The 27,821-nt window shown below is 57.4% G+C and overlaps 1 protein-coding gene and 1 long non-coding RNA gene across 2 annotated transcripts in view, besides 11 other annotated features; one reads left to right on the plus strand and one right to left on the minus strand.

Moving 5' to 3' along the window:
- GAS6-AS1 (GAS6 antisense RNA 1) overlaps nucleotides 1-15,330 on the plus strand; it is a 27,232-nt gene extending 11,902 nt beyond the window's left edge. The window contains exons 2-5 of the long non-coding RNA NR_044995.2: nucleotides 5,981-6,068; nucleotides 7,173-7,253; nucleotides 10,566-10,736; nucleotides 14,858-15,330. This is a non-coding gene — a long non-coding RNA (GAS6 antisense RNA 1). The remainder of the gene's footprint in view (nucleotides 1-5,980; nucleotides 6,069-7,172; nucleotides 7,254-10,565; nucleotides 10,737-14,857) is intronic.
- The window catches only part of GAS6 (growth arrest specific 6), a 43,528-nt gene that overhangs the window by 6,963 nt on the left and 8,744 nt on the right, over nucleotides 1-27,821 (minus strand). The window contains exons 3-11 of the mRNA NM_000820.4: nucleotides 20,515-20,539; nucleotides 19,016-19,078; nucleotides 12,217-12,339; nucleotides 10,558-10,680; nucleotides 8,002-8,124; nucleotides 7,040-7,161; nucleotides 5,123-5,241; nucleotides 4,788-4,977; nucleotides 1,036-1,200 (exon numbers count right to left, since the gene is read on the minus strand). Coding sequence (NP_000811.1) covers nucleotides 1,036-1,200; nucleotides 4,788-4,977; nucleotides 5,123-5,241; nucleotides 7,040-7,161; nucleotides 8,002-8,124; nucleotides 10,558-10,680; nucleotides 12,217-12,339; nucleotides 19,016-19,078; nucleotides 20,515-20,539 — 1,053 coding nt within the window. The remainder of the gene's footprint in view (nucleotides 1-1,035; nucleotides 1,201-4,787; nucleotides 4,978-5,122; nucleotides 5,242-7,039; nucleotides 7,162-8,001; nucleotides 8,125-10,557; nucleotides 10,681-12,216; nucleotides 12,340-19,015; nucleotides 19,079-20,514; nucleotides 20,540-27,821) is intronic.
- Nucleotides 9,771-9,980: an enhancer, noted in NCBI's record as "active region_8043". NCBI's record gives its function as "activates an Ori minimal core promoter by ATAC-STARR-seq in GM12878 lymphoblastoid cells {active_cell/tissue: GM12878}" and the evidence as "EXISTENCE:reporter gene assay evidence [ECO:0000049][PMID:35858748]".
- Nucleotides 10,089-10,641: an enhancer, noted in NCBI's record as "H3K27ac-H3K4me1 hESC enhancer chr13:114540573-114541125 (GRCh37/hg19 assembly coordinates)". NCBI's record gives its function as "activates a minimal SCP1, AML or CMV promoter by ChIP-STARR-seq in naive H9 embryonic stem cells {active_cell/tissue: H9 hESC(naive)}" and the evidence as "EXISTENCE:reporter gene assay evidence [ECO:0000049][PMID:30033119]".
- Nucleotides 10,481-10,540: an enhancer, noted in NCBI's record as "active region_8044". NCBI's record gives its function as "activates an Ori minimal core promoter by ATAC-STARR-seq in GM12878 lymphoblastoid cells {active_cell/tissue: GM12878}" and the evidence as "EXISTENCE:reporter gene assay evidence [ECO:0000049][PMID:35858748]".
- Nucleotides 11,196-11,748: an enhancer, noted in NCBI's record as "H3K27ac-H3K4me1 hESC enhancer chr13:114541680-114542232 (GRCh37/hg19 assembly coordinates)". NCBI's record gives its function as "activates a minimal SCP1, AML or CMV promoter by ChIP-STARR-seq in naive H9 embryonic stem cells {active_cell/tissue: H9 hESC(naive)}" and the evidence as "EXISTENCE:reporter gene assay evidence [ECO:0000049][PMID:30033119]".
- Nucleotides 11,920-12,496: an enhancer, noted in NCBI's record as "H3K4me1 hESC enhancer chr13:114542404-114542980 (GRCh37/hg19 assembly coordinates)". NCBI's record gives its function as "activates a minimal SCP1, AML or CMV promoter by ChIP-STARR-seq in primed H9 embryonic stem cells {active_cell/tissue: H9 hESC(primed)}" and the evidence as "EXISTENCE:reporter gene assay evidence [ECO:0000049][PMID:30033119]".
- Nucleotides 20,963-21,586: an enhancer, noted in NCBI's record as "H3K27ac-H3K4me1 hESC enhancer chr13:114551447-114552070 (GRCh37/hg19 assembly coordinates)". NCBI's record gives its function as "activates a minimal SCP1, AML or CMV promoter by ChIP-STARR-seq in naive H9 embryonic stem cells {active_cell/tissue: H9 hESC(naive)}" and the evidence as "EXISTENCE:reporter gene assay evidence [ECO:0000049][PMID:30033119]".
- Nucleotides 21,587-22,208: an enhancer, noted in NCBI's record as "H3K27ac-H3K4me1 hESC enhancer chr13:114552071-114552692 (GRCh37/hg19 assembly coordinates)". NCBI's record gives its function as "activates a minimal SCP1, AML or CMV promoter by ChIP-STARR-seq in naive H9 embryonic stem cells {active_cell/tissue: H9 hESC(naive)}" and the evidence as "EXISTENCE:reporter gene assay evidence [ECO:0000049][PMID:30033119]".
- Nucleotides 24,933-25,434: an enhancer, noted in NCBI's record as "H3K4me1 hESC enhancer chr13:114555417-114555918 (GRCh37/hg19 assembly coordinates)". NCBI's record gives its function as "activates a minimal SCP1, AML or CMV promoter by ChIP-STARR-seq in primed H9 embryonic stem cells {active_cell/tissue: H9 hESC(primed)}" and the evidence as "EXISTENCE:reporter gene assay evidence [ECO:0000049][PMID:30033119]".
- Nucleotides 25,435-25,934: an enhancer, noted in NCBI's record as "H3K4me1 hESC enhancer chr13:114555919-114556418 (GRCh37/hg19 assembly coordinates)". NCBI's record gives its function as "activates a minimal SCP1, AML or CMV promoter by ChIP-STARR-seq in primed H9 embryonic stem cells {active_cell/tissue: H9 hESC(primed)}" and the evidence as "EXISTENCE:reporter gene assay evidence [ECO:0000049][PMID:30033119]".
- Nucleotides 26,310-27,024: an enhancer, noted in NCBI's record as "H3K4me1 hESC enhancer chr13:114556794-114557508 (GRCh37/hg19 assembly coordinates)". NCBI's record gives its function as "activates a minimal SCP1, AML or CMV promoter by ChIP-STARR-seq in primed H9 embryonic stem cells {active_cell/tissue: H9 hESC(primed)}" and the evidence as "EXISTENCE:reporter gene assay evidence [ECO:0000049][PMID:30033119]".
- Nucleotides 27,025-27,738: an enhancer, noted in NCBI's record as "H3K4me1 hESC enhancer chr13:114557509-114558222 (GRCh37/hg19 assembly coordinates)". NCBI's record gives its function as "activates a minimal SCP1, AML or CMV promoter by ChIP-STARR-seq in primed H9 embryonic stem cells {active_cell/tissue: H9 hESC(primed)}" and the evidence as "EXISTENCE:reporter gene assay evidence [ECO:0000049][PMID:30033119]".

A 27,821-nucleotide genomic window follows, 5' to 3' on the forward strand; every position in this document is an offset into this window, starting at 1 on the left:
GGGCAACCCCCTTATCTGTGAAACGAGGAGGGTCCAGCCAGGCAAAGTCCCGGCACCAGGCTGTCTGTGGGCCTGGGAAGCAGGTGCCCCTCACAACACCGAAGGTCCCGGCACCAGGCAGTCTGTGGGCCTGGGGAGCAGGTGCCCCTCACAACACTGAAGGGGTGGCTTCAGCACAGGCACTGCCGACACTCAGCACCCAAAGACGCGAAGACATGCGTGCCTTTCTCCTGCCTGGTGTGGAAGTGAAAATACCCAGGATGACGGCTTAGACGTCAGCACGTGGGGGCTGGAGACACAGGTCGGGGGCACGGGCGTGTGCTGTGCTGAAGGGGAGAGAAGGCGGGACCTGGAGCAATGGCCCACACTGACCGCCCATCATGGCTGTTTTCCCCTTATGAGACTCACGGCAGAGTTACAAAACCCAAAATGTTCTTGGAAATTGTCCAAAAAAGTTTACTGTTCTGTTAAAGAATAATTTCGGCCGGGCGCGGTGGCTCACGCCTGTAATCCCAGCACTTTGGGAGGCCGAGGTGGGCAGTTCACGAGGTCAGAAGATCGAGACCACGGCGAAACCCCGTCTCTACTAAAAATACAAAAAAATTAGCCGGACGTGGTGGCGGGCGCCTGTAGTCCCAGCTGCCTGGGAGGCTGAGGCAGGAGAATGGCGTGAACCCGGGAGGCGGAGCTTGCAGTGAGCCGAGATCGCGCCACTGCACTCCAGCCTGGGCAACAGAGCAAGACTCCGTCTCAAAAAAAATAATAATAATTTAATTGTGTCTTATCTCCATTGAAAAATAGACAACTTTATTATCAATTCAGATGAAAACTTAGGTCTCATAAAAAGAGATGGTAAAATTAATGACATAGCTGTACGGCGACTTTGTCAAACTCTAGGAAACCTTTCCTTCCTCTAGGTCCTCCTCACACCTGGTTAATGGTAAACACAGGGCAGGGTGTGACTGAGGCTTCCTGACACCGTTCCCGGGATCCCAGCACACGGCGCGTCTACACAGGGACAGGTACAGTACTCACAGGCTGCACGAGGTCCTTCTCATGGAAGGGAATACCTCCCACGGTCAGGTTCAGATGATACAGTCCTCGCTCCGGTTGGAACAAGTCCCCGGCCACCGCGATTTTCATGACAGCATCCCTGTTGACCTTGATGACCAGATTCCGCGCCAGCTCCTCAACAGAGATCTGAAGAGAGGCAGCGCCATGAGAAAAGATGGGAGTGCACGTTCTGAAGGGGCTCCCAACTGAGAAAAACCACACTCATCCTCTCCTGAGCCAAGAGGGTCCCGACCTCGGGGAGGCCACCTGATCCTCACCTGGGCCAAGAGGGTCCCAACCTCAGGGAGACCACCTGATCCTCCCCTGAGCCAAGAGGGTCCCGATCTCAGGGAGACCACCTGATCCTCCCCTGAGCCAAGAGGGTCCCGACCTCAGGGAGACCACCTGATCCTCCCCTGAGCCAAGAGGGTCCCGATCTCAGGGAGACCACCTGATCCTCACCTGGGCCAAGAGGGTCTCAATCTCAGGCAGACCACATGATCCTCACCTGGGCCAAGAGGGTCCCGATCTCAGGGAGGCCACCTGATCCTCACCTGGGCCAAGAGGGTCCCGACCTCAGGGAGACCACCTGATCCTCCCCTGAGCCAAGAGGGTCCCGATCTCAGGGAGACCACCTGATCCTCACCTGGGCCAAGAGGGTCTCAATCTCAGGCAGACCACATGATCCTCACCTGGGCCAAGAGGGTCCCAATCTCAGGGAGGCCACCTGATCCTCACCTGGGCGAAGAGGGTCCCAATCTCAGGGAGACCACCTGATCCTCACCTGGCCAAGAGGGACCTGACCTCAGGGAGACCACCTGATCCACACCTGAGCCAAGAAGGTCCCAATCTCAGGGACACCACCTGATCCTCACCTGGGCCAAGAGGGTCTCAATCTCAGGGAGACCACATGATCCTCACCTGGGCCAAGAGGGACCTGACCCGGGGAGACCACCTGATCCTCACCTGGGCCAAGAGGGTCCCAACTTCAGAGAGACCACCTGATCCACACCTGAGCCAAGAGGGTCCCAACCTCAGAGAGACCACCTGATCCTCACCTGAGCCATGAGGGACCTGATCTCAAGGAGACCATCTGATCCTCACCTGGGCCAAGAGGGACCTGACCTCAGGGAGTCCACCTGATCCTCACCTGGGCCAAGAGGGACCTGACCTCAGGGAGTCCACCTGATCCTCACCTGGGCCAAGAGGGTCCCAATCTCAGGGAGGCCACCTGATCCTCACCTGGGCCAAGAGGGACCTGACCTCGGGGAGACCACCTGATCCTCACCTGAGCCAAGAGGGTCCCAATCTCAGGGAGACCCCCTGATCCACACCTGAGCCAAGAAGGTCCCAATCTCAGGGAGACCACCTGATCCTCACCTGAGCCAAGAGGGACCTGACCTCAAGGAGACCACCTGATCCACACCTGAGCCAAGAGGGTCCCAACCTCAGAGAGTCCCTGCTCATCATCTGGGCCAGGAGGGCCCTCGATGCATCAATGTGGTCACCAAAACCTTTCCTCATAGAAAACCTGTAAAGTCTAATGCTAGATACACTATATTCCTGAGCTTCAGAAGAATATCCTTCTTCCTGTGTGAAAACACCTTTCAGGTATTTGGGTTTGAACTGAGTCACAAAAACATGGTACAAATTCGGGTCAGCTGGGTTTGGGCAGCAGCTAGAGAGGGTGGAATTGGGGAGGGGTCCTCATGAGGTACCCCTGCTGGGGAAGGGCCTGTCTTGGTGGGGTGCTGCGGCCGCTGTGAGTCACTGGGCGGGACTACACTGCAACACCGCTCCCCCAGGTGACCTCGCCTCAGGCCACCTGCCCTGGGCCCCTCCTCCCCGTGGCTCCATCCCCTGCAACACCGCTCCCCCAGGCGACCTCGCCTCAGGCCACCTGCCCCGGGCCCCTCCTCCCCGTGGCTCCATCCCCTGCAACACCACTCCCCCAGGTGACCTCGCCTCAGGCCACCTGCCCCGGGCCCCTCCTCCCCGTGGCTCCATCCCCTGCAACACCGCTCCCCCAGGTGACCTCGCCTCAGGCCACCTGCCCCGGGCCCCTCCTCCCCATGGCTCCATCCCCTGCAACACCGCTCCCCCAGGCGACCTCGCCTCAGGCCACCTGCCCCGGGCCCCTCCTCCCCATGGCTCCATCCCCTGCAACACCACTCCCTCCAGGCGACCTCGCCTCAGGCCACCTGCCCCGGGCCCCTCCTCCCCATGGCTCCATCCCCTGCAACACCGCTCCCCCAGGCGACCTCGCCTCAGGCCACCTGCCCTGGGGCCCTCCTCCCCGGGGCTCCATCCCTGAAACTGCTTCTGCTTCCTTTGCTTTCTGTAGCTTTGCTGAGAACAGCCTCCTGCTCTTGGAGATACTGCTCCTTTAAGAGGTTGGGAAAAATGGAGCGAGGCATTGCTTTGCAGGATGGAAATACAAGTCTACAATGTTTCTGAAGGGCAAGACGTGCTTTCCACCTTTCTTCCCAACGTTTCCTTCTGCAAGCCCAGTATGGTGAGGGAGGCCCAGCGCTGTGGGCGGGAGCCTGGTTGCTTACAGGCCCTCTCGCTCCACGGATGGGGATGTGGGGTGGGCACGTTTTACCGCTGCCCACAGCTGCCCAAGTGCAGGTCTGACCAGGACCCCTCAGGTTGCCCATGGGGCTGGGGTCCAGGTGGTCAGGACGTCTCTGGCAAGGGGCAGCTCCCGTGAGGTCACCTGGACCCTTGGCATGCATGGCCGCACTGACCAGCAGGCCCTGGGAGCCAGGGCTCAGGGACCGCAGCGTCCACGCCGTCCTACAGGGAAGGGTGGGCGGGCGGCGCCTGGCCTGGCCACGGCCCGGGAGACACGTACGGCGGGAGCTCTGGGCTGTGGTGCGGGTTCAGTGGCGGCCTCCTCCCCTGGTGGGGCACCCTGCGTGTAGCGTCAAGCAGCCCTGGCTTCTGTTCCCCACTCTGCTCGGGATAAACAGCATGGCCTCCAGACACAGCCCAGGGTCCCCTGGGGCTGAGAACCACGGGTTCTACCTGAGCCAGGGTGACCAAACTCAGGGAGACCAAACTGACAGGTTGCACTCAAGGCCCCTTTCTGAGGGAGCCAGGCTGAAACGTGATGAAATAGCAGAGAGGCCTAGAGCACCACAGTGAGCCCCCAGAGCATGAACTAAACGGGGCAGGGGTCCCCGTCCCCCGGAGCATGAACTAAACGGGGCAGGGGTCCCCGTCCCCCGGAGCATGAACTAAACGGGGCAGGGGTCCCCGTCCCCCGGAGCATGAACTAAACGGGGCAGGGGTCCCCGTCCCCCGGAGCATGAACTAAACGGGGCAGGGGTCCCCGTCCCCCGGAGCATGAACTAAACGGGGCAGGGGTCCCCGTCCCCCGGAGCATGAACTAAACGGGGCAGGGGTCCCCGTCCCCCGGAGCATGAACTAAACGGGGCAGGGGTCCCCGTCCCCCGGAGCATGAACTAAACGGGGCAGGGGTCCCCGTCCCCCGGAGCATGAACTAAACGGGGCAGGGGTCCCCGTCCCCCGGAGCATGAACTAAACGGGGCAGGGGTCCCCGTCTCCCGGAGCATGAACTAAACGGGGCAGGGGTCCCCGTCCTGCCGGCACGCAGCAGATGCAGGCCCCAGAGCTCATCTCCTAACGGTTGCATAAGCGAGTGACAGCTGAGTCTGGCTCAGGGAGAACCCCGTGAGGCCTGGAAGGGGTGGCTGCCGCACACTCACTGTCTGCCACATGCCATGGTTGATGACCGGGCCGCTGCTGGTGACACGGCCGACACCGTTGTAGCGCAGCTGCAGCTCCAGCCGGCCGGCTCTCAGGGCCAGCACGATCCAGGTGCTGTCCTGGTGGCCTCCGGCAAAGAGGAGGATGCCCTCGGGGTCAAAGGTCCGGAAGTCAAACTCAGCTACCAGCCTGGGCACCCACAGGAGAAATGAGTCAGCACTGGGCACAGGCAGATGCCCGGCCCCTCCCTGCTGGCCGAACCCTGGCCCGGGCCCTGTGAAGCCAGTGTCTTGGCCATTCTAAGTTGTGTTGCCTCCTGTGGACACCTCCTCACCTGGTGGGCTGCAGCCTCTTGAAGCGCAGTCGGATCACGGGGGTCCCACTGAACATCCGGCCCAGGTACAAGGACTTCACACTCTTGGCCACGCTGAAGGGCACGCACGGCAAGATGTCCTGCCACGGACGGGGGCCACGCCGGTCGGGGATGTGGCCTTCACTCCTGCTCCCCTGAGCCCCACGCCCCGGCCGCGCAGCGGGTCCACTGTCCCTCCTGTGCCTCGGGAGTGGCCACCCCGCCTCTAGCTGCTGAGACCCCAGAGGCTGTCACACCTGCCCCACTGGGACTCCCAGGTGAAGGGCGGGCTTGCAGCAGCCGCTTCCCACAGGGCTTCTCGGGGGTCCCCGTCATCTCCTTCCCTGCTCATTTCCCTTGACCCTTTATTTTTAAATTATGAAATATTTCAAGCATACAAAAATTACAGAGAATCATTAAAAAGTATACACTATTATGAAATAGATATGGATGCCTTGAAGATGGCTGTCCTGGAAAGTTCCCTGTTCTGGGCTGTGGTTTCTCCACGCTGCCCGAAGGGGGACAGAACCAAAGCCGGTGTGAGCTGACACCCCTGGAAGATGGAGGGGCTGGGGCTGAGCCAGGCCTGCCCTGCCCACCGTGGGCAGCCAGGGTGAGCTGGACATCTCGCAGGGGTCCGACACCCTCTGCATGAGTACATGAGGCAGCGAGGCAAAGAACCTCAAGGCGAGGGCTGGCTGGAAGCCCTGAACGTCGCAGCCCAGACCCAAGAGCCCCACGGCTGCATCCCAGGTCTGCGACTCCGAGAAGCTGTCCTGGTGACTCTTTCCACCTGTGGTTTTGCTTTTTAAATAAATGCTCACTCTCATCAACCCCCAGGCACAGGCCCAGGCTGAAGAGGAAAGACAAGAGCCGCCCTGCCCAGAAACGTCCACATGTGGGTACTGCATTCCTACCGGTGTGACAGGTCAGTGTGACAGGTCGGTGTGACAGGCACCGGTGTGACAGGTCGGTGTGACAGGCACCAGTGTGACAGGCACCAGTGTGACAGGTCGGTGTGACAGACACCGGTGACAAGTCAGTGTGACAGGCAGTGGTGTGACAGGCACCGGTGTGACAGGTCGGTGTGACAGGTACTGTTGTGACAGGTCGGTGTGAGACACTGGTGTGACAAGTCAGTGTGACAGGCAGTGGTGTGACAGGCACCGGTGTGACAGGTCAGTGTGACAGGTACTGTTGTGACAGGTCGGTGTGAGACACTGGTGTGACAAGTCAGTGTGACAGGCAGTGGTGTGACAGGTCGGTGTGACAGGCACCAGTGTGACAGGCCCCGGTGTGACAGGTAGGTCATGCTGTGACAGGCCCCGGTGTGACAGGTCGGTGTGACAGACACCAGTGTGACAGGCCCCGGTGTGACAGGTAGGTCATGCTGTGATAGGCCCCGGTGTGACAGGTCGGTGTGACAGGCACCAGTGTGACAGGTAGGTCATGCTGTGATAGGCCCCGGTGTGACAGGTCGGTGTGACAGGCACCAGTGTGACAGGCCCCGGTGTGACAGGTAGGTCATGCTGTGACAGGCACCGGTGTGACAGGCCCCGGTGTGACAGGTCGGTGTGACAGGCACCGGTGTGACAGGTCGGTCACGTTGGCTCCCTGGCACGCGGCAGAGTGGGGACCGTGCCCCCGTGAGTGTCACACTGGGGTCCACACCAGGCTGATCCACTGTGAGCTGGGAGTTGCCATAGAGACTCTATAAATACAACCAAACATCTTCCAGGGAACAGAAGCGTTTCTCATCCCAAACCTCCACATGGCCCTGGAGATCCCCAACACCTTAGCAAAGGCCAGGTCTTCACGGAAGTGTTTCTCCCGAAAGCCCCCACCGGCGAGGGCCCCCGGAACCACCGTGAAGGGCCCGCGGGGCCAGGGGCCGCCTACCTCACAGGTGTCCATGTCCTGGGACAGCTTGAGGCCCCCACGCCCGTCACAGTGGCAGGTGTAGCTCCCTGGGGAGTTCACGCAGACCTGCTCACAGCGGCCCTGCAGACACTCGTCCACATCTGCCAGCCAGAGGGAAGCGGCGGTGAGCCGGGGAGGCCTCTACGCTGTCCCGCCGTGGGATCACACCGCGATTGCTCAAACCACACGCAAGGTGCGCTCAAGGAATTACATGCAGATTCTAACGGGGGCGGCTTGGGGGTCGCGTCCCCCCCCACTGGAAAGCTAGGTTGCACCCTCGGCCTGCTCCTGCCCGGGCTCTTTCTTGAGGGAATAAAAATGTCGCAGGTGTCCCAGGAGGGTGCTCCCAACGAGCCAGACCCACCCCCGCTGCCGGGCCGGTGTGGAAGGCAGGTCTGGGAAGCACAGGGTCTGGGCTGTGCAGTGAGGTGTCCCCCGGAGCACAGAGGGGCCGACAGCTGTGGTGGGAAATGGAGGTCAGTGCAGGCAGCCTGGGCTTCCCCACCCTCTCTGTCTGCCTACTCAGCCCCACTGTTCCCATCACTGGGGGCACGGCCCCTCTTAGAGGCTCTACGGCCAACAGGGCCCTCCCCATGGCGGCTGGAAAGAGAGAACAGTAGAGGGAGGCTTGCTGCTCCCCGTCCCTTTGGGGAGAGGCCCCGTCTATGCAGGTGGAGAAGGGTACACACGTGTGTACATGCGGTGTATATGCATGTGTGCGGTTCGTTCATGTGCACAAGGGGCATGGGTGCCTGTGTGTGCTCACGTGTGTGCGGGCATGGTGGTAGCACAGGCCATTACCAGGCTGATAGAAACAGGGAGAAAGAGACTTTCTTTCACCAGAAGCACCCGGTTGTTAGCAACCGGCTCGGGCAGTGACTGGCACCCGTGTCTAGACTTGGGCGTCAGAGAAAGCGAGGGTGACCGCGTGGCGTGGGTACCTCGGCAAGCCTTCTCCTGGGAGCTGTACGCAAAGCCCTCGTCACAGAGGCAGGAGTAGGAGCCGGGCAGGTTCTTGCAGCGCGCCTCCCCGCAGGCCTCCGAGTCTGCGCACTCGTCTATGTCTGCAAGCAAAAAAAAACCGGCCAACCGCAGCACAGCGGCATCTCAGACGGGGCTGGGGCAGGCGGCTGCAGGGACTGGCCAGGGCACCACCCAGAGGTCGCATCCAGACTCTGTGGGGCCAGCGCGCCCTGGCCCCATTTCCCTGCCCTCCTCCCCTGACCGGGCAGCTCCCGGGGTGTTGGTGCACGCTTCTGATCAAGGCCCGGCTGGGAAGGCTGACTTCAGCCCAGCAGGTGGAGAGCTGGGAAGGGCCCTGCTTGGTGGAGGGGTGGGGGGCGGCGGTGCACGCTGTGCTGTTCCATTTAAATGACGGTGCTACAGGACACGGGGCCGTAAAAAGTAACCCCCCGGGGGCATTTGAAACTAAAACCCCAACCCCAAAGAGAAGCATTTACTGGTTTCAATCAATTTTCACTACCGGGTTAAACCACAATCCTAAGACTTGAGCATCTAATGTGGGACAGATGCTGTTTACGGCCAAGCACCCTGGGGTAGGAGGGGCAACCCTGAAATGAAGAGCCCTTTAGTCACCAGAGGAGAGCAAAGGCAGGGGCACGGAGAAAGGTGGGGGAGGAGAAGGGGGAGTAGGAGTGGGAGGAGGAAGGGGGGAGGGGAAGGAGGAAGAGGAGGAGGAGGAGGGGGAGAAGGGGGAGGGGGAGAAGGGGGAGGGGGAGAAGGGGAGGGGGAGAAGAGGAGGGGGAGGGGAGGAGGGGAGGAGGAGGGGGTAGGGAGAGGATGGAGAGGAGGGGGAGGAGGGGGAGGAGGAGGAGGGGGAGGAGGAGGGGGAGGGGGAGGAGAATGGGGAAGGGAAGGAGGAGGACGGAGGGGGAGGAGGACGGAGGGGGAGGACGACGGAGGGGGAGGAGGAGGAGAAGCAGGGAGGAAGAGGAGAAGGTGAGGGAGGGGTGGGGGAGGAGGTGAGGGAGGGGGTGGGGAGGGGTGAGGGAGGGGGTGGGGAGGGGTGAGGGAGGGGGTGGGGAGGGGTGGGGGAGGAGGAGGAGAGGGGAAATAAGGATGGGGGAGGAGGAGGGGGAAAAAGAGGAGGGGGAATGAGGAGGAAGAAGAGGGGAATGAGGAGGAAGAAGAGGGGAATGAGGAGGAGGAGGGGGAGGAAGAAGATGGGGAGGAAGAGGGGGAGTGGGGGGAGGAGGAGAAGAAAGAGGAGGAGGAAGATGAGGAGGAGGAGGAAGATGGGGAGGAGGAGGGGGAGTGGGGGGGAGGAGGAGGGGGAGTGGGGAGAGGAGGAGGGGGAGTGGGGAAAGGAGGAGGGGGAATGGTGGGGAGGAAGAGGAAGATGGGGAGGAGGAGGAGAGGACGGGAATGCCTCTGTCACTGTGGGCAGTAACTGTGAGCCTAGACTTTGCCGGGAGTGCCCGACTGGTGCAGGGACCCACGGGAGATGCTTTAGACGTCATCTCTCAGGATCGGCCTAGTCTTCACCTCTCTTTAAACCTGGGGTGCTGCTGTCTTCCAGGTCAGGGATAGAGCAGTGATGGGAGGGGCTCTGTCCTCGGCGGGGAAATGGGTTTATGTGTTAAGATGGGAATCACGTCATCTGCACACAGGGCTAACTCCTGGGTGGTCAGGGAAGGGAACCACCAAAGTGGACAGAAATAGCAGCTGCCTTTTGAAATCGGGGGATGGGGTGTGGCCCCTCCTGTCTGGTCAGATTCACTCTCCAGATCCTGGGGCTGTTTCTCCCTGAGCAACTGTCTGTCCTGTCCACGCAGTTCGGTGTCCTGGACAGTCAGCAGCAGCGCTAAGAACTATGCCAGAAACTCTCAGGGACACGCCTGGGCATGTCCAGATACAACGTGGGGAGGGAGGAGGAAGGTGCTCCCCCTGCAAAGTGGCAAAGGGCCAGTGGCAGCAGCAGCACCTGGAACAGCGTCGGGGGCGCGCACATTCACAGTGACTTTCTGGGGTGTCCTGGGGCTCCCCAGCTCTGGCCCTGGGCTGAGGGAACCCCAGACTGAAATATGAAAGGAAGTGGGGAGGGCAGGGCTATATTTAGTGGACAGAGGGAGACCAACAACGGGGTGCTTCTGGGGATGCTGGGGAGAGTGGACGGCGGGGGGACCCTAGCCTGGAGCCCTGACCCACAAGCTCACTACACAAGTGCCTGGAGCACTTCCAGGCTCTGTGAGGCTCTGGGGAATGGACGAGGCCCTACAGCCAGCAGTGTGGCCTCATGGGCTGGGCCGGCCCCCTGAGTCCTGGCCCTCAGATGCCGGGTGAGTCATCCTGGTGTGGTGCCGAGCAGCTCCCTGTGCTGCGGCTGGCCTGGGCTTGTGTAGTCTCTGCAGGATGCCCCATCCCATCCAGAACCACAGGAACCCAGCCAGCAGCAGCCGCTTGCAGAAGAGCAGACATGACCGAAAATAGAAGGTGGGGAGAGGAGAGAGGAGAGAGGCCTCACCCCAGGGCCTTACCTTGGCAGGTCCTGCCATCAGAGGAGAGCTCGAAGCCGCTGTGGCAGGAACAGTGGAAGCTACCCGGCTTGTTGTGGCAGATCTGGAGGCAGCCCCCGTTCTCCTGGCTGCATTCGTTGACATCTGGGAACAAGCACAGGCCTGAAGGGGAGCCCAAGGGTGCACAGCCCCTGGCTACGGTAGGAAGAGATCCCAGAGGTGCACAGCCCAGCCCTGGAGCAGGGAGGGAGCCCAGAGGTGCACAGCCCAGCCCTGGAGCAGAGAGAGATCCCAAAGGTGCACAGCCCAGCCCTGGAGCAGGGAGGGAGACCAGGGGTCACAGCCTAGCCCCGGAGCAGGAGGAAGGGACCCCGGGGGTGCACAGCCCAGCCCTGGAGCAGGGAGGGAGCCCAGGGGTGCACAGCCCAGCCCCGGAGCAGGAGGAGGGGACCCCGGGGGTGCACAGCCCAGCCCTGGAGCAGGGAGGGAGCCCGGGGGTGCACAGCCCAGCCCCGGAGCAGGAGGAAGGGACCCCGGGGGTGCACAGCCCAGCCCTGGAGCAGGGAGGGAGCCCGGGGGTGCACAGCCCAGCCCCGCAGCAGGAGGAAGGGACCCCGGGGGTGCACAGCCCAGCCCTGGAGCAGGGAGGGAGCCCGGGGGTGCACAGCCCAGCACTGGAGCAGGGAAGGAGCCGGGGGGGTGCACAGCCCAGCACTGGAGCAGGAGGAAGGGACCGCGGGTGTGCACAGCCCAGCCCTGGAGCAGGGAGAGAGCCTGGGAGTGCACAGCCCAGCCCCCGAGCAGAGAGAGATCCTAGAGGTGCACAGCCCAGCCCTGGAGCAGAGAGGGACCCCAGGGCTTGGACCTCACACCCCACTCAGCAGCCCTAGCGTTTCATGGCCCCTGGTCCTGGCCTTGCGTGTGGAGGTAGATGGTGGGAGGGCATGGGGGATCCCCAGCTGCGGTCTCAGCCTGGGGAGCTGCTGGCAGTCACAGCCCACAGGGCTCAGCTCCCTGGATGCCCATGTGCTTGCAGGAGGAGGCTGCAGGCCAGGAGTGACCTCTGGGTGCCGAGGACAGACAAGGCCAGGCCAGAGCTGGCCACTCCTTAGCAAAGCCCTCCCAGGCCACCTGTGGGGTAGGATTTGCCAAAGGGGACAGGCTGGCCTGCTGGGCTCTCCACTATGGGTCTCCACCAGGCCCTGGAGCTATTCTTCCTCCAGGGTCTTCACTGACACCACAGGTCTACACTGAAGGACGGTCAGAGGTGAAATCTCCCCCCGGCCTTTCAATCAGTGGGTGCCACTGACACCACAGGTCTGCACTCAAGGACGGTCAGAGGTGAAATTTCCCCCCCGCCTTTCAATCAGTGGGTGCCACTGACACCACAGGTCTGCACTCAAGGACGGTCAGAGGTGAAATTTCCCCCCCCGCCCTTCAATCAGTGGGTGCTGAGGCATCACTTGGTGTTTCCTTTCCTTCCAGCCCTGCTCCCAGAAAGGAGACTGCAGCTCCTCCCAATTCTCCTGGGGCTCCAGGATACCTCAGGGCTGCAGCCTCCTTGGGGCTGTCGGAGAGCAGCCTGAGGATGGCCGTGCCCCGGAGTGGGAGTGAGGAGCGGGGATCAGGGCAGGGTCGGAGATGGAGGGAGACCCCGCCTTTGTCTTCAGCCTCACGTACCTTTGTCGCAGAGCCGGCCCCCCCAGCCAGCTTTACACAGGCAGAAGAAGTTGCCCATGAGGTCCTGGCAGGCTTGGGTCCCCTTCCTATCGCAGGGGTTGGGCGTGCACTGGTCAGGCAGGTCTGATTGGGGACACAAAGTGGAAAATCATGTTCAGCTGCCCCACCCCTGCGCGCCCAACGCAGCTGAGATCGGGGCGGCTGTGGGGTCTCGGGTCCAGCCCGGAGGAGCTCTGAGGGGCGCAGGCTGAGGCAGCCCCTGGGCACCCGAGCCCTCTGTGCTGGCCTAGGGCTGACAGAATAGGCTGGCGGGCCCTGGGGCCGGCTCCAGGAAAACTCAGATCAACTGGGAGGGAGTGCCAGCAGGCCTGGACGCAAGGTGGGAAGGGCTGAGGGCAAAGGAGCAGGAACTGCCTGGCGTGAGGCCTGGGAGCTCAGACCTCCCAGGGAGTAGGCACACAGAACCCCCAGCTGACCTGGGGGCTTCCAGGCAGACTCGGAACATTCTGCCTTCCCTGGCCAGCCCCTAGCCCATCTCTGGTGAACTCTCCCTGCTGGGTGTGGCGGGGAGGACCCCAGGCCCAGGCTGCACTGCCAGAGGGGTCCTCCAGGAAGCCCCCCTCTTTCTGCTTAGCTGCCCCCTCTCCACGTGTCTTGATGGCTTTAGGCCAGGTGTGTTCTGCCCTTTCTCAGGGTGGTCACCTGGGCTCAGCTCCTGCAGGGCCAGAGGTCAGGGGAACGGGTGAGGGCCTGAGGGTGGGAACCCGTGCCAGTGCAGCTGCTTCCCAAGCAGTCCCCCATCCGAGAAGCTGCTCACAAACACATTCATACGAGGAGCTGCTCACAAACACGCTTCCAGGACACGGACCCAAACCACGTCCCAGAGGCAGGCAGGGAAGCCCCCGACAGTGCAGTTACGCAAGCCTGAGCCCCGGGAAGTTGGCAGAAAGAACGACAATTACACCCGGAGCTCAAAGAATCCTTTCATGGCTGCTGGCAGAGCAGAAGCAGCTCGGGGCTGAGCATGGCAGTGCTCAGGGGCGCGGTCCACACTCAGCTCAGCCCCACATGAGGACTCAGCCACGCTCAGCTTAGCCACACAGGGCTCCGTGGGGAACCCTGGGTAGGGCCCCCCTGCTGGCTGAGAGAGGGCTCCGGTCCATTGATTCCACACAAGTTCAATAAGGACCAGTCCCTGGGAAAAGTGCAGGCCGGGCCAGCAGGGCCCTAGGGCACTGGGCCAGCATCGTCCTAAGGGGTCAGCCCTGGTGGGGGCACGTCGAGTCTTCAGTGCATGGGCTCTCACTGCCAGCGTGTCGCTTCTGTTCCTGAGGCTCCCAAGGTGACGTTTCCCACCAGGTCTGTAGAATGTGGCGTTTCCACCAGAGGGTCTGGGCTCGGCTGTCAGTGCAGGAGCCGCTTCCATCCCCACCTGGCCGGGGTCAGGGGTGCCCGGTGCCAGGGTGAGCGGCGGGCGGGTCTGTGGTTCACAAAGCTGAGTTCCTCCAGCTCATCCAGGGCTTACAGTCACTGCCTGTGGCCGGCACAGACACAGCCCCTGTCCTCCTAGGCGGGTCCAGGCACCGCGCTCACCAGAGGCCCTGGCTACGAGTCCCAGGCTTCTTGGGGAAGCTGCCCAACCACACTGGCTTCTTTCTGCGACGCTTCGCCGTATGCCTCACAGCGTTTCCTCCGTATGCCTCACAGTTTGCTCCGTACACCCGCGTTTCCTCCGTATGCCCCAGTTTCCTCCATATGCCTCAATTTCCTCCATACGCCCCACAGTTTCCTCCGTATGCCCCAGTTTCCTCCATACGCCCCGGTTTCCTCCATACACCCCACAGTTTCCTCCATACGCCCCACAGTTTCCTCCATATGCCCAGTTTCCTCCATACACCCCACAGTTTCCTCCATATGCCTCAATTTCCTCCATACGCCCCCCAGTTTCTTCCATACACCCCACAGTTTCCTCCATATGCCCAGTTTCCTCCATACACCCCACAGTTTCCTCCATATGCCCAGTTTCCTCCATACGCCCCCCAGTTTCCTCCATACGCCCCACAGTTTCCTCCATACGCCCCACAGTTTCCTCCATACGCCCCACAGTTTCTTCCATACGCCCCACAGTTTCCTCCATATGCCCAGTTTCCTCCATACACCCCACAGTTTCCTCCATATGCCTCAATTTCCTCCATACGCCCCCCAGTTTCTTCCATACACCCCACAGTTTCCTCCATACGCCTCAATTTTCTCTGTACGCCCCACAGTTTCCTCCATATGCCTCAGTTTCCTCCATACGCCCCAGTTTCCTCCATACGCCTCAATTTCCTTTGTACGCCCCAGTTTCCTCCATACGCCCCAGTTTCCTCCATACGCCCCAGTTTCCTCCATACGCCTCAATTTCCTCTGTATGCTTCAGTTTCCTCCATACACCTCAGTTTCCTCCGTCTGCCTCACAGTTTCCTCTATAAGCCTCAGTTTCCTCAGTACACCCCACAGTTTCCTCCCTACACCTCCGTTTGCTTGTTTTGCACAAATGACTGACAACAGAACACTTGTGGGTGTGGACGGAGCTCGCGTCTCGAAGTGTTTCTAAGATGCTATTTTCAGCAGGTCACTATAAACGCTTTCTACTCTGAAGCACACAGGGGCTGGGGCTGGCCTTCGGAGTTACGAGGAAACGAGGACCAGGACCAGGGATTCTGCATCAGCACAGCCGCCAGGAGCCGGCCGGGGCCCCATCCCTGACACTGCTGTCGCCCGGCTGTACCTGGGTGCTGTGTCCGCGGGGCGTCTGGAGACGTCGATGTGGTCATAGCAGGGCCTGGAACGGGGAGGTCTGGCCTGAACTAGAGAAATGAGGGGCGTATCCGCTTCTCCACCCTGGCCTCAGATGAAGAGGCTCTGGGGGCAGGAGGGAGTCAGACACGTGCAGGGCAGGCGGCCTGTGCAGGGCCCAACCCTCCGGCACCAGAACCTGACCTCCTCAGAGGCCCCCACCATGGAGGGATGTCTGGGGGATGCTGTGCGCTGCCGCTACGATGTTTGGTTAGAGATTAAAGCCATTTCAGAAGTGGACACCTGCCCATGTGATGCAAAGGGCTGGGAACCCGGTCTTGACTTTGCCTGGAATGCCTTTCGGAAAGACCTCTGTCCCTGAGGCTGAGGGACAGTGCCTGCTCCTGCCAGGTGCCCAGCTCTTAAGCGGTCCCCAGACTCATGCCACCTGCCCCGGGGCCTCCCCCAACTCATTTGTTTATTTCCCTGTTGGGAATGTATTGATACCTCTAGGATGCAAGGACGGAACCACACCTGAGGGGTGGACAGTCAGCCGGTGCCCAGCAAATATCTGTGGAATTTCCTCCACACAACAGGGAAAGCGATGGAGACAGAAACCTCTGCAGGCCCCCGAGGGCACCCACTTCCCTGACCCCGTCCACCTCCCTGACCCCCGCCCACCTCCCTGATCCCCATCCCGCAAGCTGGGCCTAGGGTATCGGTGGCCTGGCTGGTCATGCCCTGGGCGCCAGCGCCTGTTCAGGAGGTGAAGGGTTTATCTCAGCTTGGCCCATGACTGCGTTGAAGGACAGGAGGGAGCGGCTGTGGCTGTGGCTGGAATCTGAAGCCGGTGCGGGCGGCCAGGGCCTTTCCCTGGGTGGTGACGAGCGAGGACCAGAGCCCTGTCTGCCCGAGGGAAGGGCGAGGGGACACTCCCCGTGGCGGGGGTGGGATCCCGGTAGCCGGGGCTCAGTGACCGCTGCCTGGGCCACCGCCTGTGGGGACCTGACCTTCCTGGGGAAACCCATGGGTCAAAGGAGCCGAGAAATCCAAGCACCAAGTGGCCGCTATGGCAGGACGGGCGCGTTCGCAGTGGAGAAGCTGGGTGTGTCCGTGGGAAAGGAAAGAAATGGAAGCAGAGGCTCTTCAGGGGCACCTGGGAACGCAGCCTACACTCTTCCCAGGCCTCCTCCCTCCGTCCACTGTGCCGCCTGGGTCCTGGGACAGCCTGAGGGCCGCAGGCTCCCATGCAAGGCCCGCTGGGGGCCTGCTTGTCTGGGGCTGAATTTGGACTTTATGGGGCTATGGCTTTAATTTCACAATGACCGATAACCAGTGAACTGAAGCCAGGACAGCACCGTGAGCACCAAGTCAGAGAATTTTCACGAGGGAACCAATGAACAGGAACAGAGTGTGAGGCTGCCCCAGCTGCATCCTCCGGGAGGCGCCTTCCCAAGGGAGTGCAAGGCTGCCTGCTGTGGCCAGGCCACCAAAGCACCTTCTTCACCGCCAGGCATCTTTTGAGGCACGCGAACATCAGAGGCCCCAGCCACGTGCTCTGGAGGAGAAGCTGAGAGCCCCAGGCCACAGGCAGGGCAGCCTCTGAGGGCCGGCTCAGGGAGAGTGGCCGGAGCTTCTGGCCTGGGGCAGGTGGACCCGTTAGAAACTGCATGTGTTGCCTCTGGCACCAGCCACAGCAAGAGATTCTCTTCCTATCACACAGGGAACAAACTCAAGGATCTTGACCTTGCCCTCCTCTCCCCAGCTGGCCGCACTTGGGGACGCTGATGCCACAAAGGAAATAACCAAAACAAGATAACTCTATTGGGCGGCGGGAACAGAAAGGAACATGTAGCAATCACTCCTCTTCATCCATGCAAGGAAGCGAGGCGACGCCTTGAAAAGGACGGCCTTCTTTGCTGCAAATAGCCAGAAGTGAACTGAGCAAAGGAAGCACGGGACGCACAGGAAGAAAAGTGCTCCAAGGGACGGACAGGACGGTGCCGGGGTTAGGAAAGCGCAACACTGTTCAGACACAGTCTCCGATATATGAATGGCAAGCCCAGTTAAAAATATCTAAAGGGCTTTTTTAGGTTTTTAAGAATATTTTTAAGGTTTAGTTTTATTAAAAAATAAGCAAGACAACCAGAAAAAAGACTGAGGAGGGCATAGGAGACCCACCCGCGTGCATGAGGCCGAGTCTAAAGCTGTGGCCACGGCCTGTGGAAACCCGGCAGAAAATCTCCCAAATACCCAGCATATGAGGACGGCAGCAGGTGAGGCACTGGGGTGAGACAGACTCAAATGTGTGGTGTTGGGGCAGGAACTGAGCCTGCAGTCTAGATCCCCACCTCATCCATCACGTCAAAAGAAATTACGGGCGGGTCACAGATGAAAACACCTAACAGCAGGTAACTGTTTTGTAATCTTGGGGAGAAGCCTAAAGCCCAGGAACTAAGAGAGTATAACAAGTGTGAATACAGAATTTAAAAGAAGAGACTGGTTTAGCAATCACTAAGATAAAACACGCGTGACAGGATCTGCTTGTCTCCTCTGAGCACGCAGGAGCCTCTGCCCCAAATGCAGACATTGGGCCCTACGTGGCACCTGGCTACTGTGCATGGTTGCAGGTCAGGGCAGGCCGGGCCACAGGGCAGGGCCACCCTCCCATTCCCATGTTTACACTGAGCATTTCCTCTGCCTGTGTCTCTTGGGCTGGGGTCTGTGATACAAGTCCGGGAGGCCAGAGACGCCCACGGACAGTGCGTGGGGCTTGGGGAGCGGGACTGAGCCACCTCTGACTCCTTCTGCTGACTGGGATCCAGCTCCAAAGCCATGCCTGGGAAGAGACTCCTGCCTCTCCCAGGATGACTCCGTCCCGCCACGCCTCTGCTCTCAGCGCCCACAGGGACTCACCAAGCTGGACTTTCATCTAAAACTAGACACACGTGACGCCAGCGGACCACAGACCCAGTGCAAGGGGAGCTGTGTGGGTTGTGCTGAAGGTATGTTAAAATTCATACAGGACACCCAAAACAATCAATCTTATTGCATGATAATTTTAAAATAATAAAAAAGACTTGTGGCAAGCTGAAAAAATTTTTGATAACTTTACTACCAATGGCTAATGTGCAAACTCCTACAAATTGAGAAAAACAGGCAAAAAATATAAACAACAGTTTATAGGAAAAGAAATACACAGTTTTTAAACCTATGAAGGACAGCTTTACTCATTAGTTAAAAAAAAAAAAAAAAACCTGAAATGACTGATGTCATTTCTCGCCTGTTACATTGGAAGAGATCAAAAGTTTAAAAAAACAGTTCATTCACCCCTGCAGGGGCGGAGGCTAAGGCTGGCTCTGGGATAATTTGGCAGTATCTGTATCCAAAGGAAACATGAGGACTGCCTCTGCGATTCCATCCTTGGGAACGCATCCCGCAGACACTCAGACGTGTGGGAGGCAACAGGTGCATGAGGATGTCACGCCAGTTTTGTTTAAATGATGGAAATTGGAAATAACCTGGACATCAGCCAATATGCATGGGCTAAGTTCATATGATGCACCGGCTGGAAATGCCAGCGTGAAGGTGAGACACGCTAAGAGAGGGTCTCCTGTGCAGACAGAGTTGCAGAGGCACGGGACAGACCGTGTGTGCTAAGCCGCCACGCGTGTGAAGAGCGGAAGGCCGCTCACACATGTTTACATGTCTAAGCACAAGATTCTTGGAACTGTAACTACGGTGGTGTCTGACTGGACGACTCAGAGGCGGGGATGGGCTTTCACATCACACTCTGTGAAACATTTACATTTTGTTCCATGTGCATTTATTGCCTATTGCTAAAAACGTCAAAATTTACTTGTTTAAAAAAGAAAGTTTGGCGAAAAGGGAGCAGGCCTCGGCAAGGGACCACAGCTCCTTAAAAAACAGAACTATTCAGGGCCCTCCACAAACCACAGCCAAGCCTAAAGCCGCCCAAACCCACAGTGCTCCCAGGAAGGCGCAAAGGAGGCCGACTTACTTTGCACGCAGGTGGCGAAGCCTGAGTTTTTGGTGTACGGAGACCCATACTTGTTGATGCAGTCTGCAGGAAGAAAGGGAATGGATGTCAGTCATCCTTACAAGACCGGATGGACTGCAGAGCCTCTGCTTCTGAGACGCTCTGGAGAGGCAGTTACTCTGCTTACCTGGGGTGCTATCATCCTCCAGAAACAATGCCGCTTAGCTTGTGTTAATAAAAAACATGTTAGCCCCAACCCTGACAAACAGGAAACCACCTCCACCAACTCAGCGGAGTTGTGCACCCACAGTCAAGTGCGTAAAGCACCGCCCGCCGTTTCGAGGGGGCTCCTCCTGCCATACGGGAGAATCACCGGGAATGCTCAGTAAGTTCCTGACGGTACTCGAAAAGCTAAACTTCATTTTCCAGTGGACCCCCATTGGGAAACGCTGTGCTTAACTGGAAAGCCACTCTGCTTTGGAGAAAGCCCCTCCATGCTCTCTGGCTGGCTGAACACAGCTTGACAGCAGACATCCCGCTAGGGCGGCGGGGGGAGGCGAGGCCTGGCACATGCACATCCAGGGATAACCCGAAGCGTGAGGTTGTGCAGAACGGTGCGGGGCCTCTCGACCTGGCCCTTCAGTGGGTTACTGTTGCTTATCCAGGCGCAGAACGGCACGGATGAACAGCGGAAGGCCTCCTGCAGGTGTGCTGTGGACCGCTGGCCACCCCCTGCTTCAGAACTCAGTCCTCGCTGGTGCCTGGGCTTTCTGGGCCAGTGCCAGACCCACTGTGTTTGTTCCAGATATGGACCCAGGGAAGGACCCTTTAAGAGGACATTTACTAAAATGCACTTTGCAACATTAAAAAGAAGACCCTGGAATACATTTCTCTCCTTCTAAGTGAAATGCTCTCAAAGAGCTCTAAGATGGTGTCAGTTAAACGGGCTGACCCGGGGTCTCTGGGTTTCACTTTCTTGCTGTCCTCCCTTCCCAAGTGTACAGTGGGGGTCTCCAGAGGCCGCCCCACATGCACCAGCTGCTCTGATGGCTGAGATAACGTCTGGCATTCCCGTTCTTCAAATTAAACAGAAACACTATTCAGTGTTTTCGGTTTTAATTAAGAATACGGTAAATATCAGTCAATACAGCCCACATGAACATGGACCCCTTTGGGGTCCTCAATGACTTCAGAAGTGATTAGTGCTGAGGTCAGAAAACCGGAGGACAAAATCAATTACACGTCCTGACAAGGAGCTGAGCCTGGCATCAACTCAGAGAAGGGGTTTGCAGATAACAGCATTCACCTGAGGTTCCACTAACACGGAATAAAGCTGTGGTATAAAATAAAGAGAGAAACTTGTGTTTCTGACCTGCATGTTCCGGACAGTTCCACGTGCACCATGTGATTAAGAATCTTCCTTCCAAGAGTTACGTGGTGAGGAGATTCCTCCAACATGAAACACGCACCCCCAACTATGCCTCTACGACAACCAGAGTAGAGAAGTAATTGAGACTTACCTAAGTATCTTGGGTAAAAATAATCCTGTGGAAAAAGAAAAAGAAAAGGCAAGCATTGACCGGCACACTACGAGGGTCTCTGAACAACATAAGCATCAGCTGGTTAATCAGAGGCTGCTCTCGGGGCAGCCAGAGGGCCGCCCCACCCGGGGAACTGAGGGGAAGTGACCGGGGCACGACTGCTGTGAGACCAACAAGCAAAGGCAGGGCCATTTCCAGCTGCGTAGGAAGTGCTACCAGGTGTGTCCAGGGGAGAGGCCTGCCCAGGAGGACAAGAATGCTTCCAAGTAAAACCCCACTCTTAGTTCCCTGTTGACATAAGGGTCTCTAAAACCCAAAGACCTTAGTTCCCTGTTGACACAAAGGTCTCTCAAAACCCCAAAGACCTTTCTTTTGGCACACGGGCATTGATTTGCACTTATAGTATTGGTGAAACAAAATTGGTACTGGGTGAGGATGGAGGCTGTAATGAAGGGTCTTCTTATCCATGAAAGCGCACTGACGAGGTCCACATTCGACACAAGTGAGCTGTCGAGTCCTGGAACCACCTGCCTGTCACTTGGCCAGCAGAGGCCGGCCGGAAACTTCTTCAGGATCCTTTTGCCATGGCCCACAGATTCTAGGGCCACAGCCTGGTTAAAGCAGCCTCCAATCTCCAGCTTAGGGTCAACCATGCCAGCAGTTTGGCCCTAAATGCTCTAAACCAAGAGACCACAGTCATGGCAGAATAGTCCCAGCGGCCTCTCCATGCTGGGTATGAGTCAGCATTTTTACACTATTTTATGAAATCCTCACAAATAACACCCAGGAAGGTCTTTTTAATCCCATTATCAGGAATGAGGAAACCCGGCTTCAGGATGGTTGTGGGATTCACCTGGGGGCATGAAGGTCAGGATTAGCAGGCGCTGGTAGCATTTTGCAGAGTAGCAGACAGAGGCGGTAGGTACCCAGCGCCGTCTGCAACGCGCCTCTGGCTTCATGCGCTGGCTCTGCATGGCCTTTCTGCCTCCTTCCCACCTCTCTCCCACACTTGCTGGCCTTGCCACACCTTTTGTGGGAAGAGCCTGGAGGCCCCGCCCCAGCCTTGCCAACACCCTCCTGAGGCCTGCTTGGATGTGTTTTCACAAAGTTGTGTTCTAGGAAAGATGGGATGCTCTTAAACTCTTACTCCCTTAAGAGAAAGGAAGGGTCAGGGTGAGCTGGTGTGCAGCTCACGTGTCTGTTGGGAGGGCGGCCGCCCTGAAGGCCAGGAGGGCTGCAGACCTGGAACACACACCCTCATGCCTGCCCTCATTTCTCTCACTTCCAATTTTAGTCATGGGTTGGCAAACTCCAAGAAAAGGCAAGAACAGCCATACCAAGTGAGCCCTGGTGGAGTCCTGGAGCAACACGAAGTGGCACCAGGTTTCTAGGCTTGGAAGGAGAAGGGAAGTGATGGGGCTTTGTCTCAAAGCAGGAGGCTCTGGCTCTGAAATAAAAGACTTGCGAGGGATGCAAAAGGTGTCCTTTCAGGTTTAGAAGCCAGGGATTGAAAACAACTAAGAACTAGTGAGCAAACGGCCTAACTATACACAAATGCTTGCATTACCACAGCTTTACAGCAAGTGTGTTCTATTTTTCAAAATCAAGACTAGTCATACTACTTAATGTGTAATCTGTATTAATACCAAGTTTTATTGTTGCAAAAAGGCATTATTCATGGAAAAACTATGCCAATCTCCTGTCAGTTCGCCACACCTATGGGAATGGGGTTTCTGAAACCACAGGGTTATAGCCCTGGGCACTGTATCCTAATTTGCATGTTTGATTATTTGAGACAGTAATGGAGGCAGAAAGCATATGCTAATTCCACCGGCAAACTAGGGGAAAGATGGTTAAACCATGAGCAAGAGAAAAGCTAAGATGAATAAACCTAAAAACGCTATACACTCCTGAGAGAAAGAAAAAGAGACATTTCACATTTTCCTGAGAACATTCTGGTACACACTCCCAAGAAAGAAAGACATTTCACGTTGTCCTGAGAACATTCTGGTATACACTCCTGAGATAAAGACATTTCACATTGTCCTGAGAACATTCTAGCCAAAGATGTAAGACCCAGAAATGGCTTTGAGTAAAGGCACCCAGATAAGCTCCCTGACCTGCAGAACCAAACACAGAGCACTTTGTCCTCAAAACCCTCCCACCCCTGTCTGCACTACTGCTTGTTCAGGTCCATAAACCTTGGCCTGAAGCCCTGCATTAGCCATATCTCCAGAGCAGCACCCCCAGGAGTCCCCATGGAGCAGAGGCCACCACTCAGGAGGCCGGAATTTAGAACCAGGAGCTCCTTATGTACACACTGACTCTCTTTCTTCTAAACCTAGGAAGAGCAAGACCTATGGTAATGGGTTGGCGTGCTGGGGTTAGGTGAGGGCAACAGGGGGAAGAAGCTGGGATTCCCAGGCTGGAAATGGCGCCATTTGGCCCCTGGAAATCCTTTCCCCGGGGATCTGCTTCTGTTTTATTTGAACAGCTACAGATAAAAATAAGTGAGCAAACCCCAAGCCACTGCACTGTTAGCTGAAGCTTCAAGAGGAAAAAGACAACATCTACCTGCCCAGCACCGAGCCTGGTGCTGACTGTCCCCCAGAGGCCTCATGAGCCGTCACCAAACACATGGATGGATGACAGATGGACAGTGGATGAGTGCGTGAAAGAATGGATGGGTGAATAAATGAGTGGATGGGCAGATGGATGCATGAATGAGTGGGTGGATGGATGGATGAGTGAATGGATGAATGACTGAACAGATGGATTGATAGATGGATAGATGGATGGATAGATGCATGTATGGATAAATGCACAGATGAATGAATGAATGGATGGATGAGTGAATCGGTGGATAGATTAGTGAGTAGGATGGATGAGTGAGCAGACAGATGCATGGATGGATAAGTGAGTGGATGGGTGAATAACCAGATGAATGAATGAATGAATCAGTGGATGAATGAGTGAATGGGAATGAATGAATGGATGAGTGGATAGAGATGGATGAATGAACAAATGAATGAGTGGATGGATGAGTGGGTGGATGAAAGAATGAATGAGTGGGTGGATGAGTAAATGAATGGAGATGGATGGATAAATGAATGAGGATGGACGGATGACTGAGTGGGTAAATGAATAAATGCGTAGATAGATGGGTGAGTGGATGGATGGATGGATGAATGAATAAAACAATGAGTGAATAGATGGATGAGTGAGTGTATGAATGAATGAGTGAGTGGGTGGATGAGTGAGTGGCCAGATGAGTGAATGAATGAGTGGGTGGATGGGTGAGTGAATGGATGAATGAATGAAAGAATGAGTGAGTGGGTAGATGAGTGAGTACATGAATGGATGAGTGGGTGGATAGGTGAATGGATGGACAGATGAATGAATGAATGGGTGAATGAGAGTGAGTAGATAGATGAATACATGAATGAATGAATAGGTGGGTGGGTGAGTGGGTGGGTGAATGGATGAGTGAATGGGTGGGTGAGTGAGTGGATAGATGAGTGAGTGGGTGAATGGGTGACTGGATGGATGGAGATGGATGAATAAATGAAGGAATGAGTGGATGGATGGATGAGCGAGTGCATGGATAGTTGAATGAATGAGTGGGTGGATGGGTGAATGAATGAATCAGTGGGCAAGTGCAAGGGCCTGCAGTTTTCACTCCCACAGAGCACTGAATGCTCAGTTTCACTTAAATCATAGATAAGTACTTGGAAGAAAAGTCAAAATCAATGCTCCCAGTCTGTTTCTTTTAATAATATGGAAGTGTTTGTGCTGTAATTCCTCAAGTTTACAAACCCCCACGTGATTTTAAAACTTACATCCTTGTTATTAACTGACATCTGCCAAACCCACTCTTCTAGGTGGCAAGCGTGGTGCCCACTGCACGGAGGATGCAGCCATTAGGTCTCTCGGAGGTTTGTGTGCTTTGCTGTTCCCGGCAGGGACGACTTGGAGGGCAACAGCCTCCTGGTCAGTGCAGGGCCCCGTCCCTGGGTGAAGCAGGGCAGGTGCTCGGCCTGTGCTCCCGAGGCTCTGGCGCAACTGTGAGTGGCCCAGGATGGCCATGAATGCAGCCCAACATAAATTCGTAAACTTTCTTAAAACATGAGCTTTAGGCACAGACCTTCTTTTTAGCTCATCAGCTACTGTTAGTGTTAATTTTATGTGTGGCCCAAGACAGTTCTTCTTCCAATGTGGCCCACGGAAGCCAAAAGATTGGACGTCCCCGTGCTGGGGGTTCCGGGGCTGGTCGAGGCTGGGAGCCCCGTCTGCAGAAGGTCCCGGTGTGAACAGTGGAGCCGGTGCCTCCTCTGACGCCTCCCTGACTGTGCCCGTTGCCCTTCGGTTTCGTAAGCATGGAGGAAACTGAACCTGAAGCAGCTTGGAGGGAGCTGAGCCCCAGGACAGGAGCCTGGTCTGGCTGGGGTCTAACATGAGGCCCCAAATTTGTTATAAAACTACAGAAAGTGTCTGATGAGTAGATGCCACCTCCGGACCCTGGCATCCGCCTCTGCTGCCTTTGCTCTGCTCAGGAGGGCAGTGGGTGCCGGCAGAATCCATGGGAATTGGTGCAGTGTCACAAAGACCCAAGTCCACCTCCGCCCCTGCCCTGCCCACCACCAGACCCAGGTCTCCCCCGCTCAAAGCCACCCACAGGGCAAAGGTCAAGCATGGCAGGGAGCTGCACACAGGGTTCCCAGGATGGGTCGGCCTCGGGGACCAGGCTGTAGCCTGGCCACCCATGCGGCAACCCTACCAGCAGGGCACTGCGGTTCTCACGCCCCAACCCCCAAATGACCTTTAACCTGGTGACAGGCTTCCTCACCCAGAGCTGTGGTTCAGAACAAGGTGGGGTGACCTCCCCATGCCACCGCAGGAATCAGGCAGCACCCAGCACGTGAAGAGACCCTCCAAGGGGCCGGGGGGACTCTTCCCCTAGGCCTGCTCTGGGGCCCCTGCCTACCTGCCTGCAGCTTGGTGAGGGTTTCCAGTGGTCTCTCGATCCAACTAGACCCTGGGAGGGCCCATTCACTTTTTAAAAATGGCCAAAACCTCCATGCGGTGATGGCACACAACACAGTGCATTAACAAGACAGGAAACACTTTTGGGCCCAAAGTGCACTGAACTGGAAGCACCTCACGCAGCCTAAAGTCAGTTTGGAAGGTTCCAGAACATTTCCTAAACACCTTCATCTCTGAATACACTTTAACTCCTTGGGTCCCAGCAAGGTCTCTGCCTGGTGGTGAGGGGCAGCCAGGGGATTAAGGGCACGGCCCGACCTGACGCTCACTCATCCTTGGGCCACAGTCCCCGCAGAGCTGCAGTGAGGATCAGAGGTCAGTGAACGTGGAGAACCTTCTGCAAACACCCGATGTCAGTCCTGCATAAATCTTTTTGTGTGAGTTTCATCTGCATTCATACAGCAAATAGTGGTTATTTTTCAGAGTGTGCTAAGAATGTATTACTCTCTTTAGCAAATAACAGCCATAAATTTTGTTTCCAAAAATCTTTATCTTACTTGACAAGTGGGTGGAGACTGCTGAGCACAGGGACTCTGTTTATCAACACCATAACTTTCTCTGATATTTTCCATGGGAAATGGTCACAAGAATTCACTAACCCTTTGACCATAGTGCTGTCTTCCAAGAACTTGACTTCTATGAGAAAACTCAGAGTAACGCCCACAGGAACTGCCCTTGGGGAGCCTTCCTTTCTCAGCATTTGCAGACTCTCTGAAGAGCCGCCGTCTTACAGACCCTTGGCCTGGCAGCCCGGCTCTATTCATGTTCTTCTAGCTTGGGAAGTGCAAAATCCTTTCCTTCCTTCCGAATTCGTTTCCTAAGTCTTCACACCCGCAGCAGCCTGCTCTAGCCCTGAGCAAAGTGGAAGTGCTGATCCCACTGCCCACAGGAGGCAGTGCATGGCCCCCAGCCCAGAGGACCCCAGGCTGACCTGGAGGGAGACAGGCCCCAGGAAAGCACAGTCAGTATACCCGGCATGCCCATCTGCACCCAGGGTCAGCGGTGACAGGTGCCTCTGCCCTCCTCCAAGCTCACACCCAGGTGCGCCCTCCCTTGCTGGGAGCCCTCTTCCTGGGAGCTCATCCTGGTGTGACTGCCCGGTCAGATGTGGATGCTGGGAAAGGCCTCTGTAGCTGACTGCACAGCTGTGAGCACCCTCCATGCCTCACAGCACCGACGTGGTGCCTGACCCGGTGGGTAACCAAGCTCTTCTCACAGAAGCCCCGAGACACACATCAGTGTCTCTCATGGGCTTCATGGCAAACGAGACAGAGGAGCTCGAGTGGCTTCCAGCAGCTGCACGGCGGTAACGCCGAGACTCGCCCCGCATGGCAGTGACGCCGAGACTCCCCCTGCATGGAAGTCATGCTGAGACTCAACCCTGCACGGCAGTAATGCTGAGACTCACTCTGCCCGTCTCTGCCCCAAACACAGAGCATGCTCCCGACAGCCCCCAGCAGGGTGTCCTGTGGTGCACAACATTCAGCATGTGAGCGTGGACGCAGGGAAGGAACAGAGCTGCAGCCCCCACAGGCCCTGAGCCAGCACAGGCTCTCATCGAGGAAGGCCCGCTGTCTTTCAGGGCAAGCCCCACCGAGGGCTGCCTGCTTTGAAGTGCAGAGCAGTGACTGTCTCTGGCCATTTGGCAGCATCCTTGCGGGCCCTGAGAGAAGCCAGTCAGGAAGCCACACAGCTGTTGGATGGGAGGGATGCTGGCCACAAGAAACACTACAAGGAGAGAGGCCCAGGACACGCCACTGTTTGCACGTGGTGGGCAGAAGGGAGCCTGGGAAAGTGCTGACTAAAGACAGGCCAGTCTGTGGGGGAGCAGAGGGCGGGGAGGAGGAAGGAAGAGGGTTCCTCCGTGCCCACCCCAGCCCCGGTGGCATCGCTGTCCTGGGAGCAGCCTCGTGCCCGCAACAGCTGCCGTGGAGAGGAAGTGGGATGTCTCACTGCAAATGCTTTGGGAAAAACAAGACAGTGTACTTTGTGATCATATAAAACAGCAAAATAAAATAGTCGTGGGCACAGGGCCAGTGATTCTGCAGTTAGAGCCGTGTGGACTCGGTCCCCATCTCCGGTGAGGGCGTCTCCTGCACACGGCACCCATGCTTCAGGTCGCACACACGTGCCTTGGACCCAAGTTCACCTTTGGAGGTGTCAATCCCCCCAAGAAGATGTGCTAACCTTGGAGTTTGGGGCCTAGGCTTCCATCAGAGTCTTCCCCACAGAAAGCGAACTGG

Source organism: Homo sapiens, chromosome 13 (assembly GCF_000001405.40).
Source record: "Homo sapiens chromosome 13, GRCh38.p14 Primary Assembly".
Taxonomy (NCBI): domain Eukaryota; kingdom Metazoa; phylum Chordata; class Mammalia; order Primates; family Hominidae; genus Homo; species Homo sapiens.